General features: G+C 46.0%; 1 annotated feature.

Annotated features, from left to right (window-relative positions):
* Positions 13,290-13,584: a silencer, noted in NCBI's record as "tiled region #14461; K562 Repressive DNase unmatched - State 7:EnhWF". NCBI's record gives its function as "represses a minimal TATA promoter and a strong SV40 promoter by Sharpr-MPRA in K562 cells {active_cell/tissue: K562}" and the evidence as "EXISTENCE:reporter gene assay evidence [ECO:0000049][PMID:27701403]".

Raw genomic sequence — 15,127 nt, 5'->3', positions numbered from 1 at the left:
CAGAGACTCATGAATGATCTGGGTACTGATCTGTTGATCAGATATTTATGTTTGTTAGTGTATTAGTTTTCTGTTGCTGATGTAACAAATGACCACAAACCTAGTAGCTTCAAACAATATACATTTATTATCTTACAGTTCTGGCAGTCAGAAGTCTAAAATCAGTTTCACTGGTCTAAAATGAAGGTGTGGGCAAGGCTGCATTCCTTCTGAAAGCTCTAGGGGAGAATCAATTTCATTGCCTTTTCCAGATTCTAGAGACCACCCTAATTCCTTGGCCCCTTCATCTGCCTTCAAAGCCAGCAGCATAGCGGCTTCCAGCCTGACTCTGACTCCTTCTTGTTACATTTGATGCATCTGGACGATCCCGGAGAATCTCCTCATTTCAAGGTTCTTAGTTTAATCACAGCCACAAAGTCCCTTTTGCCACATAAAGAAATGTATTCACAGGTTCCAGGGATGAAATATGGACATCTTGAGGGAGCCATTACTCAGCCTATCTCCTTCGGTCAGTTTTTTTATCTTCCCACAGCAGGATCATAGTTAAGCCAGCCTATGAGCAAAGGCTGCTGAGGAACCTGAAACCAGAGTACAGGGATGTGTACAATCTCCATGGACAGGTCATCAGCTGGCTGCAAATCAGCTGGGCCCCAGTCTGCCATCCAATCAACAAGGAGTGGAAACTTCTGACACTCAGGCTTCCCTTCTTGTAGACACTGTAGCCTTTTATCAGACGGACTCCAGTGCTGATTGTCAGGTCCTGCTCTACTTACTCCCAACTCTCCATCTCTGATACAATTACAAGTCATCTTTTATGGTTGCTTGATGGGACCTGTCCCATCCTGGGTTCCTGTTAATCATGCCCATCCATTAACGTCTCTGACAGATTGTGTTACAAACCAGTACCCAGTGACAGCATTTGATCCAGTGTTCTCCAGGACCTCACAGCTCCCTGCCCTTCTCTCCCTACCTCTCTGACTTTTGGCCGCACATCCCAGGTTCCAAAGTCTGCTCTGCCCTTCCCCTGTCTTTTTGATAACTTGTTAGGACTTTCCTTTCTGGATTCTGTGCAGAAATAATCTCATCCATTATGTACTGAGCTTTATTAGTAACCTTGTCTCAAAATTTGGGGAATACCTCCTTCATGGTGACTTTTTTTTTTTTTTAAAAACTGATTCTCAATTTTCTGTGTTAGTCAATTTCTACGTTTCTGAAAATCATTCTATAAACATTCTGCAAGAAACTGTTTATGTGCCAGGCTTTGGGTAAGGCTCAGAGAGCCTAGAGGCCAGTGGAGAAAATGAATTTTTTTTAATCAAATCATCACATTCACGTATATGTAATTATAAATGAAGATTAATTGCTCTTAAGGACAGAAACATGGTTAATGAAAATTTAACACAGACCTGCCCCAGATTGGGGGTCCTCAAGGGAAACTTCCCTATAGAAGTGCCATTTGAACTGTGATCATCGGATAGGTGACAGGGAGAAGTCAGGGAGCTGGGAGGTGACTGTGGCTGCAGGCAGAGACAGACAGATGGGGAGGAAAGGTCAAGGGGGATTGTATAGGCAGGCAGGGGGCAAGGCGGGGGTTTTGAGTTTTAGCCTAAGAGCAAAGATTTTCAGCAAGGAGAGAGTGGGGATGGCATCACGTGTGCTGAAACCATCTTCCTGATTGTAGCGTGGTGAACAGCTTTTATGGGGAAGGAGGAGAGGACAGGAGGGCAGTTAGGAGCTCCTTTTGGTAACAGAGGTGAGACATGAAGGCGACCTGGCTGGGGTAGTAGCAATGGAGAAGCAGCAGAGTGGTTGGTTTCTCAGAGTAGTTTGGCAGTAAAAATCTAACAGGAGATGGTGACAGTTTGAATATGAGGCAAGAGGTGGAAAGTTTCGAAGATGGAACCAAACTTCACAGCATATATAAGTTACTATTAACTAGTCTGATTTTTTTTTTTTTTTTGGGACAGTGTCTCTCTCCGTCGCCCAGGCTGGAGTGCAGTGGTGTGATCTCAGCTCACTGCAACCTCTGCCTCCCGGTTCAAGCAATTCTCATGCCTCAGCCTCCCAAGTAGCTGGGACTACAGGCATGGACCACCATGCCCAGCTAATTTTTGTATTTTTAGTAGAGACGGAGTTTCGCCATGTTTGCCAGGCTGGTCTTGAACTCCTGACCTCAAGTGATCCACCCTCCTGGCCTCCTAAATTGCTGGGATTACAGGCGTGAGCCACCGTGCCTGGTCTGCAATGAAACATTATTAAAAGGAGGAAATGATAGCTCTTGTGTATTTTGTGACAGGCCTAATGAAAATAGCTGCCTTCAGTGTGAGGGGGTTGCTCCATCCTTGTGAACCGCAGACATGACTATGTTGGTGGCTTCTGGGAGAAGTTTACATATCTAAGTTCAAGTTCGTAGGTGGCCAACATGGTTGATGCTTTTATCGTCAGAATTCCCCTAACATTCTTTGCGGTGGGGAGAGGGACTATCTCTAAAACCAAACCACCATCCTGAGGGAGCCTTAGACTGAGAGGCTTACTTATGGACACTCACATTTGGAGAATTCTGGGAATCCAACCCCAAGAATGCTGGCCCCTTTCCCCACTTGTGACGGACGGTCTTTTGAACCTCAGGATTTGGCAGTCTGTCAAACCAAATAACTCTGGGTGCAAAAGTCAATGCAGTCCAGAACAATATCTGCCTCGTTGCTACAGGCTGGATGTCTCTAACAGGCATGTCTTGGAATCCTTGCCCTTTTTCCCTTTTCACTTAGAACAGATGCACTGGTATAAGAACCTGCATGAACACTTTTTTCCCCAACATTATTTTTTTATATTTTATTTCATTTTATTTTGAGACGGAGTCTCACTCTCTCACCCAGGCTGGAGTTCAGTGGCACGATCTGGGCTCACTGCAACCTCTGCCTCCCGGGTTCAAGCGATTCTCATGCCTCAGCCTCCTAAATAGCTGGGATCACAGGCATGCACCACCACGCTCAGCTAATTTTTATATTTTTAGTAGAGACGGGGTTTCACCATGTTGGCCAGGTTGGTCTCGAACTCCTGACCTCAAGTGATACTGCCGCCGCCTTGGCCTCCTAAAGTGCTGGGATTACAGGTCTGAACCACCGCGCCTGGCCACAATGTGATTTTTTTTTTTTTTTTAATAACAAGACACTTGGTTGCTTTGTTGAGACAGAATTTCCAGGATTTCACATTTGAGTCTCTGGACCTAAGTATCCTGGTGGCACCACTTGGATATCTTAAAGTCACCTGTGGCTGCAGGTAGTGGCTCAAGCCTGTAATCCCAGCACTTTGGGAGGCCAAGGTAGGTGGCTCACTTGAGGGCAGGAGTTCGAGACCAGCCTGGCCAACATGGCAAAACCCCATCTTAGCCGGGCGTGATGACACATGCCTGTAATCCCAGCAACTTGGTGGCTGGGGCATGAGAATTGCTTGAACCCGGGCGGCAGATATTATAGTGAGCTGAGATTGTGTTACTGCACTCCAGCCTGGGCAATAGAGCAAGACCCTGTCTCAAAAAAAAAAAAAAAAAAAGTCATTTGTTAAAGTGAGTGGACCCCTTTGGAACATTCAGTCAGATTCTGCTACCCAAAGGCTAGAAACCCGGCCTCCCAGCACACAGTGGGGGAGAGGAGTGTGTACCTTAGGATGAGGCTGAAGGATCTTGGACAGGGAGCCTGGCCAGAGTGCTCCAACCTCGCCATTACTTTTGTTCAATTACACATTATGAGAAGTGGAAGAAATGAGAAAAGCAAATTAATGCTTAATCACTGTTAATACCCAACGCACTTCTAAGGAAGGCCCCTGTGCCTCATTGTGGAGATCTACATACGCCTGCACAGTGACCCCAACCACACCTCCGACTTCATCATTAACATCTAGTATTCTCCACTTTGGCTGCACTTTGCATGATGGAGGGGGGTTGAGGGGGTGGGAGTGTTAAAAAACAAAAATCCAGCACTTTGGGAGGCCAAGGCAGGCGGATCGCCTGAGGTCGGGAGTTCGATACCAGCCTGGCCAACATGGTGAAACCCCCATCTCTACTAAAAATACAAAAATCCAGCCGGGCGTGGTGGCATGCACCTGTAATCCCAGCTACTCGGGAAGCTGAGGCATGAGAATCACTTGAATCTGGGAGGCGGAGGTTGCAGTGAGCCAAGATCGTGCCACTGCATGCCAACCTGGGCGACAGAGCAAGACTGTCTCAAAAAAAAAAAAAGACAATGCCATGGTAATGATTTTGTTCATTACCATAAGATACATGGGTCACCCCAATCTTACCTGCTGGCCTAAAGGCAAGCGACGGCCACTTCAGTTCCACTTTGTCACATGCCCCACTTGCCCAGCACACACCTTCCTTCCTCCCCGGTTAAGACGCTGGCTGGTGTTTCCAGTGGAGCTGGTCCTCATGCCCTGTCTTAACACTGGACTGTGCTGTTGAAGAATATGGATACTCACTCACCTTCTGGCTCTCTCCTCTCTGGCTTCCCCGGATTCCAGCCTCCAGGAACCAGATCCTGACCATGGCTTGCTTGGTTGGCTCCTGTACCTCCCATTGGGGGTTGTGGGCAGATATTTAGATTCTCATCTGCAATCTGGGAAGCATAAACTAACACTACCCCCATTTTATAGTCAATGATATGAATGCCCAGAAAGGTTAACTGATTCAGGCCGGGAGCGGTGGCTCAGGCCTGTAATCTGAGCACTTTGGGAGGCCGAGGTGGGAGGATCACTTGAGCCCAGGAGTTTAAAACCAGCCAGGGCAGCATAGCAGACCCCATCTCTATTTTAAGGAAAAAAGAAAGAAAGGTTAAGTGATTCATATATGACCACCCAGCTCTGAACTTTACTGCTTTTGATTCTATTGAGAGGTGAAGCCGGCTGGGCTTTTGGGTCGGGTGGGGACTTGGAGAACTTTTCTGTCTAGCTAAAGGATTGTAAATGCGCCAATCAGTGCTCTGTGTCTAGCTAAAGGTCTGTAAACACACCAATCAGCACTTGGTAAAAACGGACCAATCAGCACTTGGTAAAAACGGACCAATCAGCACTCTGTAAAACGGACCAATCAGCTCTCTGTAAAGTGGACCAATCAGCAGGATGTGGGTGGGGCCAAATAAGGGAATAAAAGCAGGCCACGCAACCTAGCTGCGGCAACTGATTGGGGTTTCTTTCTGTTGTAAGTGCTTACCATAGAGTTTGTTGCTGTTTACTTTTTGGGTCTGCACTATGTTTATGAGCTGCAACACTCACGGCAAAGATGTGCAGCTTCACTCCTGAAGCCACCAGGCCATGAACCTCCCAGGAGAAACAAACAATTGTCGACACGCTACTTTTAAGAGGTGTAACACTCACTCGGAAGGTCTGTGGCTTTACTCCTGAAATCAGCGAGACCATGAAACCACCAGAAGGAAGAAATTTCAGACACATCTGAACATCTGAAGCAACAAACTCCGGACACACCATCTTTAAGAACTGTAACACTCACCGCAATGGTCTGAGGCTTCATTGTTAAAGTCAGCGAGACCAAGAATATCGGAAGGAACCAATTCCGGGCACGCTATCATCCAAATAGTCCATTACTTGAATTTTAGCTGTAAAATAGCAAAAATTATCACCCACTGGGGTGAGGGGAGGATTTATGTGGTGAGGATTAAAGGGATATGGAGGCAAGGTTAGTCAGTATAGCGTAAATAATGGTTGGTCTTTGGAAGCCAACTGAGTACCAAGTGTGGACATTAAAGATTGCTCCAGTGTTAGGTTTTCATCATCGTGGTCTGCCATTGCAAAATACCACAGACTTGGCGTGGCTTAAAGAATAGAAATTTATCTTCTCACGGTTCTGGAGGCTTGAAGTCTGGGATAAGAGTGCCAGTGTAGTCAACTAATATGAGCGCTCTCTTTCCAGGCTTGTGGACAGCCACCACCTTGCTGTATCCTTTGGCAGAGAGAGGGAGTGGAGGAGAAAAAAAAGCGGGGAGAGGATTTTCTGGGCAAACCAGAGTGTTCCTTGTGTCTCTTCTTATAAGAACTCTAATCCTATCATATCAGGCCGCCACCCTGAGGAACTCATTTAACCTTGTCTCATACTAAAGTAGTCACCCTGAGAATTACGCATTTTAACACAGGAATTTGGGAGGACATAATTAAGTCCATAGCATGTTTCCAGAGAAACCATTATTTCTCAAAGTTGGAAAAGAACACAAAGATCATTTTATACATTTATACTTTTTTTTTGTGGTAGAGACAGGGTCTTGCTATATTGCTCAGGCTGGCCTCGAACGCCTAGGCTCAAGTGATCCTCCCACCTCAGCCTCCTGAGTAAAGAGCATCTTTTTATTTGCTCGTTATTTCTTGGTAACTCATTTCTCTGCTCAGCTTCCTTTCCTTGGGGCAGGCGTTGAGGGGAGGCTTTCTGCTAGAGTCTGCCTTGGGGCTCTGAGAACGGTTATCCCAACAGACTTTAATTATTCTTTTCTAAGGGCTTTCCTGCCCTTGAGTTGGTTATTTACAAAAATGCCTCAGGGATTCCCAGAGGAAGGCCCCCCGAATTCTAATGTGCTGGCTTTCACTCTGGACTAAATGCTCTGTTCTATAGCTCACTCAGCTCATCTTTCCATCTTCAGGAGAGGGAGAAGCTACATTGTGGGGCAGCTTTACTTATTCGCAGAGCCATTTTACCCTTTAGGTGAAGAGACAATCCCAAATGCCGGTATAAAGACTCATCCTAGTGATGGTGATGGCCTCCAAAAGCATCCTCCATGGTATGAGGCCAAAGGTTTAGCTTCTTGGTGAAAGATTGTAACTTCCCGTTTTTGTCCTAAGAGGCTTTTTCTTATTAAATTGTCAGAAGTGGGCTCTCTGAGAAAATCTTAAGAGGCCCTTACTGTAAGACTTTCATGAAGTTTAAAGTGTGGCTGTCTCCGCAGGGCATTACTGTGAAGGGGAAGTTAGATTTTAGTATGTCAGAGTCTTGAATCAAAGTTAGGAAAATCAGAGTTGGGAACTTTCTAGAACAGGCTGGGCAGTCTCTCAGAGGCTTGCACCATCTGGATGGGGTGACAGCATGAGAACCCATAGGAAGGAAGCCTGTGGTCCCCTCCACTTCATCGCATTCACTTTGGCTACCACAGGCCGACCCCAGGGTGGACCCCATGTCTGTTGCTAACCACTTTGTTGCCAAGTTACCCTTCTGGAGGCTCATTTTCCTCAGCATGGCTCTGAGAGGGAGTGCCTCCTTAATTTGTATATCTTTCTCTCTCTCTGTGTATGTAACTCCTCAATTTTGTACCCTGGGCCTCTTCTCTCACCCTAGTCCTGCCCTAGATACTAGTATCTTCCTCAGGGGGATTTGTGTAGATTAAATTACAGAATGTGGGATGGGTGTGGTGGGGTCTGTAATCCCAGCACTTTGAGAGGCTGTGGCTGGTGGATATCTGTATCTATCTATCTACCTATCTACCCATCCATCCATCCATCCATCTATCCTATCATCTATATTATAGATATATGGATAGAGATCTATAATATACATATGTATAATATATCTCTTTCTATATATATATGTGTATATGTTTTTGAGACGGAGTCTGACTCTGTCGCCCAGGCTGGAGTGCAGTGGCGTGATCTCGGCTCACTGCCCACCTCTGCCTCCTGGGTTCATGTCATTCTCCTGCCTCAGCCTCCCGAGTAGCTGGGACCACAGGTGTGTGCCACTACGCCTGGCTAATTTTTTTTTTCGTATATTTTTAGTAGAGACGGAGGTTTCACCATGTTGGCCAGGATGGTCTCGATCTCCTGACCTCGTGACCCGCCCGCCTCGGCCTCCCAAAGTGCTGGGATTACAGGCATGAGCCACTGCGCCTGGCCAAATTAGCTGCTTTTTAAATGGAACCCTAGAGCCCTCAGACATAACGCCGCATATCTACAACTCTCTGATCTTTGACAAACCTGAGAAAAACAAGCAATGGGGAAAGGATTCCCTATTTAATAAATGGTGCTGGGAAAACTGGCTAGCCATATGTAGAAAGCTGAAACTGGATCCCTTCCTTACACCTTATACAAAAATCAATTCAAGATGGATTAGACTTAAATGTTAGACCTAAAACCATAAAAACCCTAGAAGGAAACCTAGGCATTACCATTCAGGACATAGGCATGGGCAAGGACTTCATGTCTAAAACACCAAAAGCAATGGCAACAAAAGCCAAAATTGACAAATGGGATTTAATTAAACTAAAGAGCTTCTGCACAGCAAAAGAAACTACCATCAGAGTGAACAGGCAACCTACAAATGGGAGAAAATTTTCGCAACCTACTCATCTGACAAAGGACTAATATCCAGAATCTACAATGAACTCAAACAAATTTACAAGAAAAAAACAAACAACCCCATCAAAAAGTGGGCGAAGGACATGAACAGACACTTCTCAAAAGAAGACATTTATGCAGCCAAAAAACACATGAAAAAATGCTCACCATCACTGGGCATCAGAGAAATGCAAATCAAAACCACAATGAGATACCATCTCACACCAGTTAGAATGGCAATCATTAAAAAGTCAGGAAACAACAGGTGCTGGAGAGGATGTGGAGAAATAGGAACACTTTTACACTGTTGGTGGGACGGTAAACTAGTTCAACTGTTGTGGAAGTCAGTGTGGCGATTCCTCAGGGATCTAGAACTAGAAATACCATTTGACCCAGCCATCCCATTACTGGGTATATAACCAAAGGACTATAAATCATGCTGCTATAAAGACACATGCACACGTGTGTTTATTGCAGCATTATTCAAAATAGCAAAGACTTGGAACCAACCCAAATGTCCAACAATGATAGACTGGATTAAGAAAATGTGGCACATATACACCATGGAATACTATGCAGCCATAAAAAATGATGAGTTCATGTCCTTTGTAGGGACATGGATGAAATTGGAAGTCATCATTCTCCATAAACTATCGCAAGAACAAAAAACCAAACACCGCATATTCTCACTCATAGGTGGGAATTGAACAATGAGATCACATGGACACAGGAAGGGGAACATCTCACTCTGGGAACTGTTGTGGGGTGAGGGGAGGGGGGAGGGATAGCATTGGGAGATATACCTAATGCTAGATGACGAGTTAGTGGGTGCAGCACACCAGCATGGCACATGTATACATATGTAACTAACCTGCACAATGTGCACATGTACCCTAAAAGTATAATAATAAAAAAATAAATTAATTAAAAAAAAATGGAACCCTATTTTTACTTAAAGGGATGGCTGACAGACAAACTATTATTCTTTTGACTTGGGAATTTGGCGGATATTTTCTGAAAATGAATAAAGTATCCTGTCACTTCAAGGAAATCATACGACAGTATTTGTTGCCACATGGTAAACTGAATTTTCAAGTGAAAATTAGGATTTGGGGAAGCCTGTATCTGCTACCATAAGCTTGACAGCTTTTTAGTTTTTTAGTTTTTGTTTTTTTTAAATTGAGATAGGGTCTTGCTGTGTTGCCCAGGCTGGAGTGCAGTGGCACAAACACGGCTCATTGCAGCCTTGGCCTCCTGAGTTGTAGTGATCCTCCCATCTTATCTGAGCTGGGACCACAGGTGTGTGCCACCATATCAGGCTAATTTTTAAAATTTTTGTAGACACGCATTCCCACTGTGTTACCCAGGCTGGCCTCGAACACCTAGGCTCAAGTGATCTGCCCCCCTTGGTCTTCCAAAGTGCTGAAATTACAGGCATGGGCCGCTGCGCCCAGCCATCTAGTGTTAAAATACTTTTCTTATGAAATTTGTGGTGATAGTAATAAATGTAGTTTTCGATACTATATAATGAACTATGTCAACATTTGGAAGTCTACAACTCATTGAATCAATATTTTCAAAATGGCCAAAGCACAAAAATCCTGCATAAAAAAAGAACCATTTAAAATGCAAGATGAGACTGGTTGTAGTGGCTCACACCTGTAATCCCAGCACTTTGAGAGGTCGAGGCAGGTGGATTGCTTGAGGCCAGGAGTTGGAGACCAGCCTGACCAACGTGGTAAAACACCATCTCTACAAAAAATACAAAAATTAGCTGGGTGTGGTGGCTTGTGCCTGTAGTCCCAGCTACTCAGGAGGCTGAGGTGGGAGGATCGCTTGAACCTGGGGGGTTGAGGTTGCAGTGAGCTGTAATCGTGCCACTGCACTCTAGCCTGGGCGACAGAGTGAGACCCTGTCTGAAAATAAAATAAAATATATTAAAAAGTAAAATAAAACGCAAGATGAACCAGTGAATTTTAGTATGACTGAATACGAAAAGTTCAGTGATACGGTTCCAGATTATACCTTGCAATTAATGTTTAAGGAACTACCATTTGGCTGGGGGTGTTGGCTCATGCCTGTAATCCCAGCTCTTTGGGAGGCTGAGGTGGGCAAATGACCTGAGGTCAGGAGTTTGAGACGAGTTTGGCCAACATGGTGAAACCCTGTCTCTACTAAAAATAAACAATTAGCCAGACATGGTGGTGCACGCCTGTAATCCCAGCTACTTGGGAGGCTGAGGCAGGAGAATTGCTTGAACCTGGGAGGCAGAGGGTGCAGTGTGCTGAGATCATGCCATTGCACTCTAGCCTGGGCGATAAAAGCGAAACTCCGTCTCAAAAAAAAAAATGCCATTTGTTGAATTATAGTGCAGTATCAAAGAAGCACATCCAGAATTATCTGAAAAGTCTAATGACATACTCTTCCCTTTTCCATCTATACATGTATGTGAGGTCATATTTTCTTCATATATGCAAACTATGTCAAAATAAGTGGACTATATAAGCAGATAAAAGAAAGCAGCTATCTTCCGTTTAATGCAAACATTAAATGGATTTGGAAAAATGTAAAAGAATTTCACTCTTTTTTTTTTATTGATCATTCTTGGGTGTTTCTCGCAGAGGGGGAGTTGGCAGGGTCATAGGACAATAGTGGATGGAAGGTCAGCAGATAAACAAGTGAACAAAGGTCTCTGGTTTTCCTAGGCAGAGGAACCTGCGGCCTTCCGCAGTGTTTGTGTCCCTGGGTACTTGAGATTAGGGAGTGGTGATGACTCTTAACGAGCATGCTGCCTTCAAGCATCTGTTTAACAAAGCACATCTTGCACCGCCCTTAATCCATTTAACCGTGAGTGGACACAGCACATGTTTGAGAGAGCACAGGGTTGGGGGTAAGGTCATAGATCAACAGGATCCCAAGAAAGAAGAATTTTTCTTGGTACAGAACAAAATGAAAAGTCTCCCATGTCTGCTTCTTTCTACACAGACACAGCAACCATCCGATTTCTCAATCTTTTCCCCACCTTTCCCCCCTTTCTATTCCACAAAACCGCCATTGTCATCATGGCCCGTTCTCAATGAGCTGTTGGGTACACGTTCCAGACGGGGTGGTGGCCGGGCAGAGGGGCTCCTCACTTCCCAGTAGGGGCGGCCAGGCAGAGGTGCCCCTCACCTCCCTCCCAGACGAGGCGGCTGGCCGGGCGGGGCGCTGACTCCCCACCTCCCTCCCGGACGGGGCGGCTGGCCGGGCGGGGGGCTGACCCCCCACCTCCCTCCCGGACAGGGTGGCTGCCAGGCGGGGACGCTCCTCACTTCCCAGACGGGGCGGCTGCCGGGCGGAGGGTCTCCTCACTTCTCAGACGGGGCGGCCGGGCAGAGACGCTCCTCACCTCCCAGACGGGGTCACGGCAGGGCAGAGGCGCTCCTCACATCCCAGACGGGGCGGCGGGGCAGAGGCGCTCCCCACATCTCAGACGATGGGCGGCCGGGCAGAGACACTCCTCACTTCCTAGATGGGATGGCGGCCGGAAAGAGGCGCTCCTCACTTCCTAGATGGGATGGCGGGCGGGCAGAGACGCTCCTCACTTTCCAGACTGGGCAGCCAGGCAGAGGGGCTCCTCACATCCCAGACGATGGGCGGCCAGGCAGAGACGCTCCTCACTTCCCAGACGGGGTGGCGGCCAGGCAGAGGCTGCAATCTCGGCACTTTGGGAGGCCAAGGCAGGCGGCTGGGAGGTGGAGGTTGTAGCGAGTCGAGATCACGCCACTGCACTCCAGCCTGGGCACCATTGAGCACTGAGTGAACCAGACTCCGTCTGCAATCCCGGCACCTCGGGAGGCCGAGGCTGGCGGATCACTCGCGGTTAGGAGCTGGAGACCGGCCCGGCCAACACAGCGAAACTTCGTCTCCACCAAACAAATGTGAAAACCAGTCAGGCGTGGCGGCACGCGCCTGCAATCGCAGGCACTCGGCAGGCTGAGGCAGGAGAATCAGGCAGGGAGGTTGCAGTGAGCCGAGATGGCAGCAGTACAGTCCAGCTTCGGCTCGGCATCAGAGGGAGACCGTGGAAAGAGAGGGAGAGGGAGACCGTGGGGAGAGGGAGAGGGAGAGGGACGAATTTCACTCTTTTCACTAAAGTTTTCCATCTTAGAAAACATTTTTACTAAAAGTGTTATTTATTTTAATAATGGGTTTATTATTGTCGTTTAGAAATGAATTGGTAAATAAATTTCCCATTTTTAATTTCTAATATATAAACATTGATAGCTATAACCCATATAAACAAAAGCTCTTTGGGGTTCTCAGTAATTTGTAAGAGTAGAAAGGGATTCTGAGACCAAAAAAGTCATTCTCGGGCAGAGGGCCGTGCTGCCCTTTTTTTTTTTTTTTTTCCTTGAGAGTGTTCTATGCCTGTACCCCATGGACTGTGTGTTAACTCTGCATATCCATCAGTTTCCCATTTGAGTGACTAGGAAAACATTTTGCATACAATGCTTTGTGATGTCCTTTGGCCTCTACTTGTTTACATAGTAAGTCCATCTCTATTCTTTTTCTCTTTAGCCTGTGACAATTCAAATAGAATTATTTGGCTCCAATCCCATCTAAACACAGTGCCAGTGTAGATTGTGAAGCCATGTTATGGTACTCAGTGGATGGCCAGAGGACCCAGAACCTGCAACCATGAATCTAATTTTAAATAGTAATCAAATGGAAAGACAGAATTTGAAATTCCATAGGCGTCTGGGGGTGAGTCTGCAGATCCAGCATGAGAAGCCCGACCTTGCTGGCTCAAGCATAGGCGCCCAGAGCCATGGCAGGAACCACAGGGAGGCTGGGAATATGACTGTTGTTATCAATGTGTGGTTACTTAGTTCTTTCTTAGAAACCATCTCAAGAGTTACTCCCTTTATTTCTATGCCCCAGTCTAAGTTTGAAAGATTTTCCTCTGAGCAATCTTGATCACTGAGGGACCAAAGATCTAAGGCTAGGTCCACCCTTAGTTCTTCCTGCCGAAGTCTCCATCAGGCACTGCATACCCCCCGCCTCCCTCTCATAGATGCCTCCTGTTTGTGGGTACTGAGGTCCTGAGTCATCTTCCTGCAATTGTACCACACTGTGGCCTCACCACGTTGCTATCAGGCTCTCCAACAGATCATTGCGTGGACCTCCCCAGGCACACTAACCATTCATACCTCACAAAACATTCCTTTCTGGGCCGGTCACGGTGGCTCATGCCTGTAATCCCAGCACTTTGGGAGGCTGAGGCGGGCAGATCACCTGAGGTCGGGAGTTTGAGACCAGCCTGACCAACATGGAGAAACCCCGTCTCTACTAAAAATACAAAATTAGCTGGATGTGGTGGCCCATGCCTGTATTCCCAGCTACTCGGGAGGCTGAGGCAGGAGAATCACTTGAACCCGGGAGGCAGAAGTTGTGGTGAGCTGAGATCGCGCCATTGTACTCCAGCCTGGGCAACAAACGAGAACTCTGTCTTTAAAAAAAAAAAAAATTCCTTTCTGCGCTTAAAAAGTCAATCAGTAGTTTCACCATAATCCATGTAGCTCAGAGTTAATATGCTACATGCCTCGGCCTCCCAAAGTGCTGGGATTACAGGCATGAGCCACCGCGCCCGGCCAGTCACTTAGTTTTCTAAGCCTCAGTGTCCCCATGTGTAAAATACTACATGCCCTGCCTGCTGTACAGAGTTGGGAAACTCAAACTTGATAAAAGATGTGAAAATATTTTAAAAATTATAGGCCGGGCACGGTGGCTTTTGCCTGTAATCCCATCACTTTGGGAGGCCAAGGTGGGTGGATCACTTGAGGTCAGGAATTCGAGACCAGCCTGGCCAACGTGGCGAAACCTTGTCTCTGCTAAATTTACAAAAATTCTCTGGGCATGGTGGCAGGTGCCTGTGATCCCAGCTACTTGGGAGACTGGAGCATGAGAATTGCTTGAGCTTGGGAAGCGGATGTCACAGTAAGCTGAGATTGCATCACTGCACTCCATCCTGGGTGACAGAGTGAGACTGTCTCTAAATAAATAAATAAATACAATTATAAAGTGCTAGTCAAATGCAAGTTGGTAGTGAAACAGGCCTTGACATATTTCATAGTCACTTTATAATTCTTCCATCAAGGCTGGACAAGTGTCACCTTAGCACAGATCAACCCAGATCAACATACTGAAGATTTAGGAGCACAAGATTCTTTAATAGAGGATATTTTTCTGCCCTGCTTCTTCCAATTGCAGTATATCATATTTGATCATTGTAGTGCTTGATGAATTTATTTTGCAACTTACTACGATAGAATGAGAAATCACTGGCTTTTCCAAATAGATCATGGCTGTCTCCCCATTGGAGAAAGAGGTACTCTGTAGAGTAACTAGGTTAACTCAGAATATCTACACCCTGAAAGGCCAGTTTTCTTTTTATAATGTAAACACATTAAGGGAATTTGGAAATAAAGAGAAATCATCCAGAATTCTACCATCTTAACACAGCTCTGTGTTTTTGCCCATTACAGCCTAGTTGGCATCCATAAGCACTTAAGAGGGCTGTAGTTACAATGTACATATCATTTTGGTTTTCTGCCCCTTTTTCACTTATGCATTTCTCCACATTTCCTTTTTCTTCTTTTTGTGATTATACTTTGATAGGCATCTACATTTCTACCTAGCCTCCGTGTTTATCATTTTAATGGTGAAATAATATTCCATCAACTGAATTAATCATGATTCCTTTTGGGTGAAGATATAGGTTGTCGCCAGGTTTTTCTTTTTCTACTATTAATAATGCTAC

Source organism: Homo sapiens, chromosome 15 (assembly GCF_000001405.40).
Source record: "Homo sapiens chromosome 15, GRCh38.p14 Primary Assembly".
Classification (NCBI taxonomy): domain Eukaryota; kingdom Metazoa; phylum Chordata; class Mammalia; order Primates; family Hominidae; genus Homo; species Homo sapiens.
The sequence above is the reverse complement of the archived record's forward strand: the minus strand, read 5'-3'. Positions and strand labels throughout refer to the sequence as shown.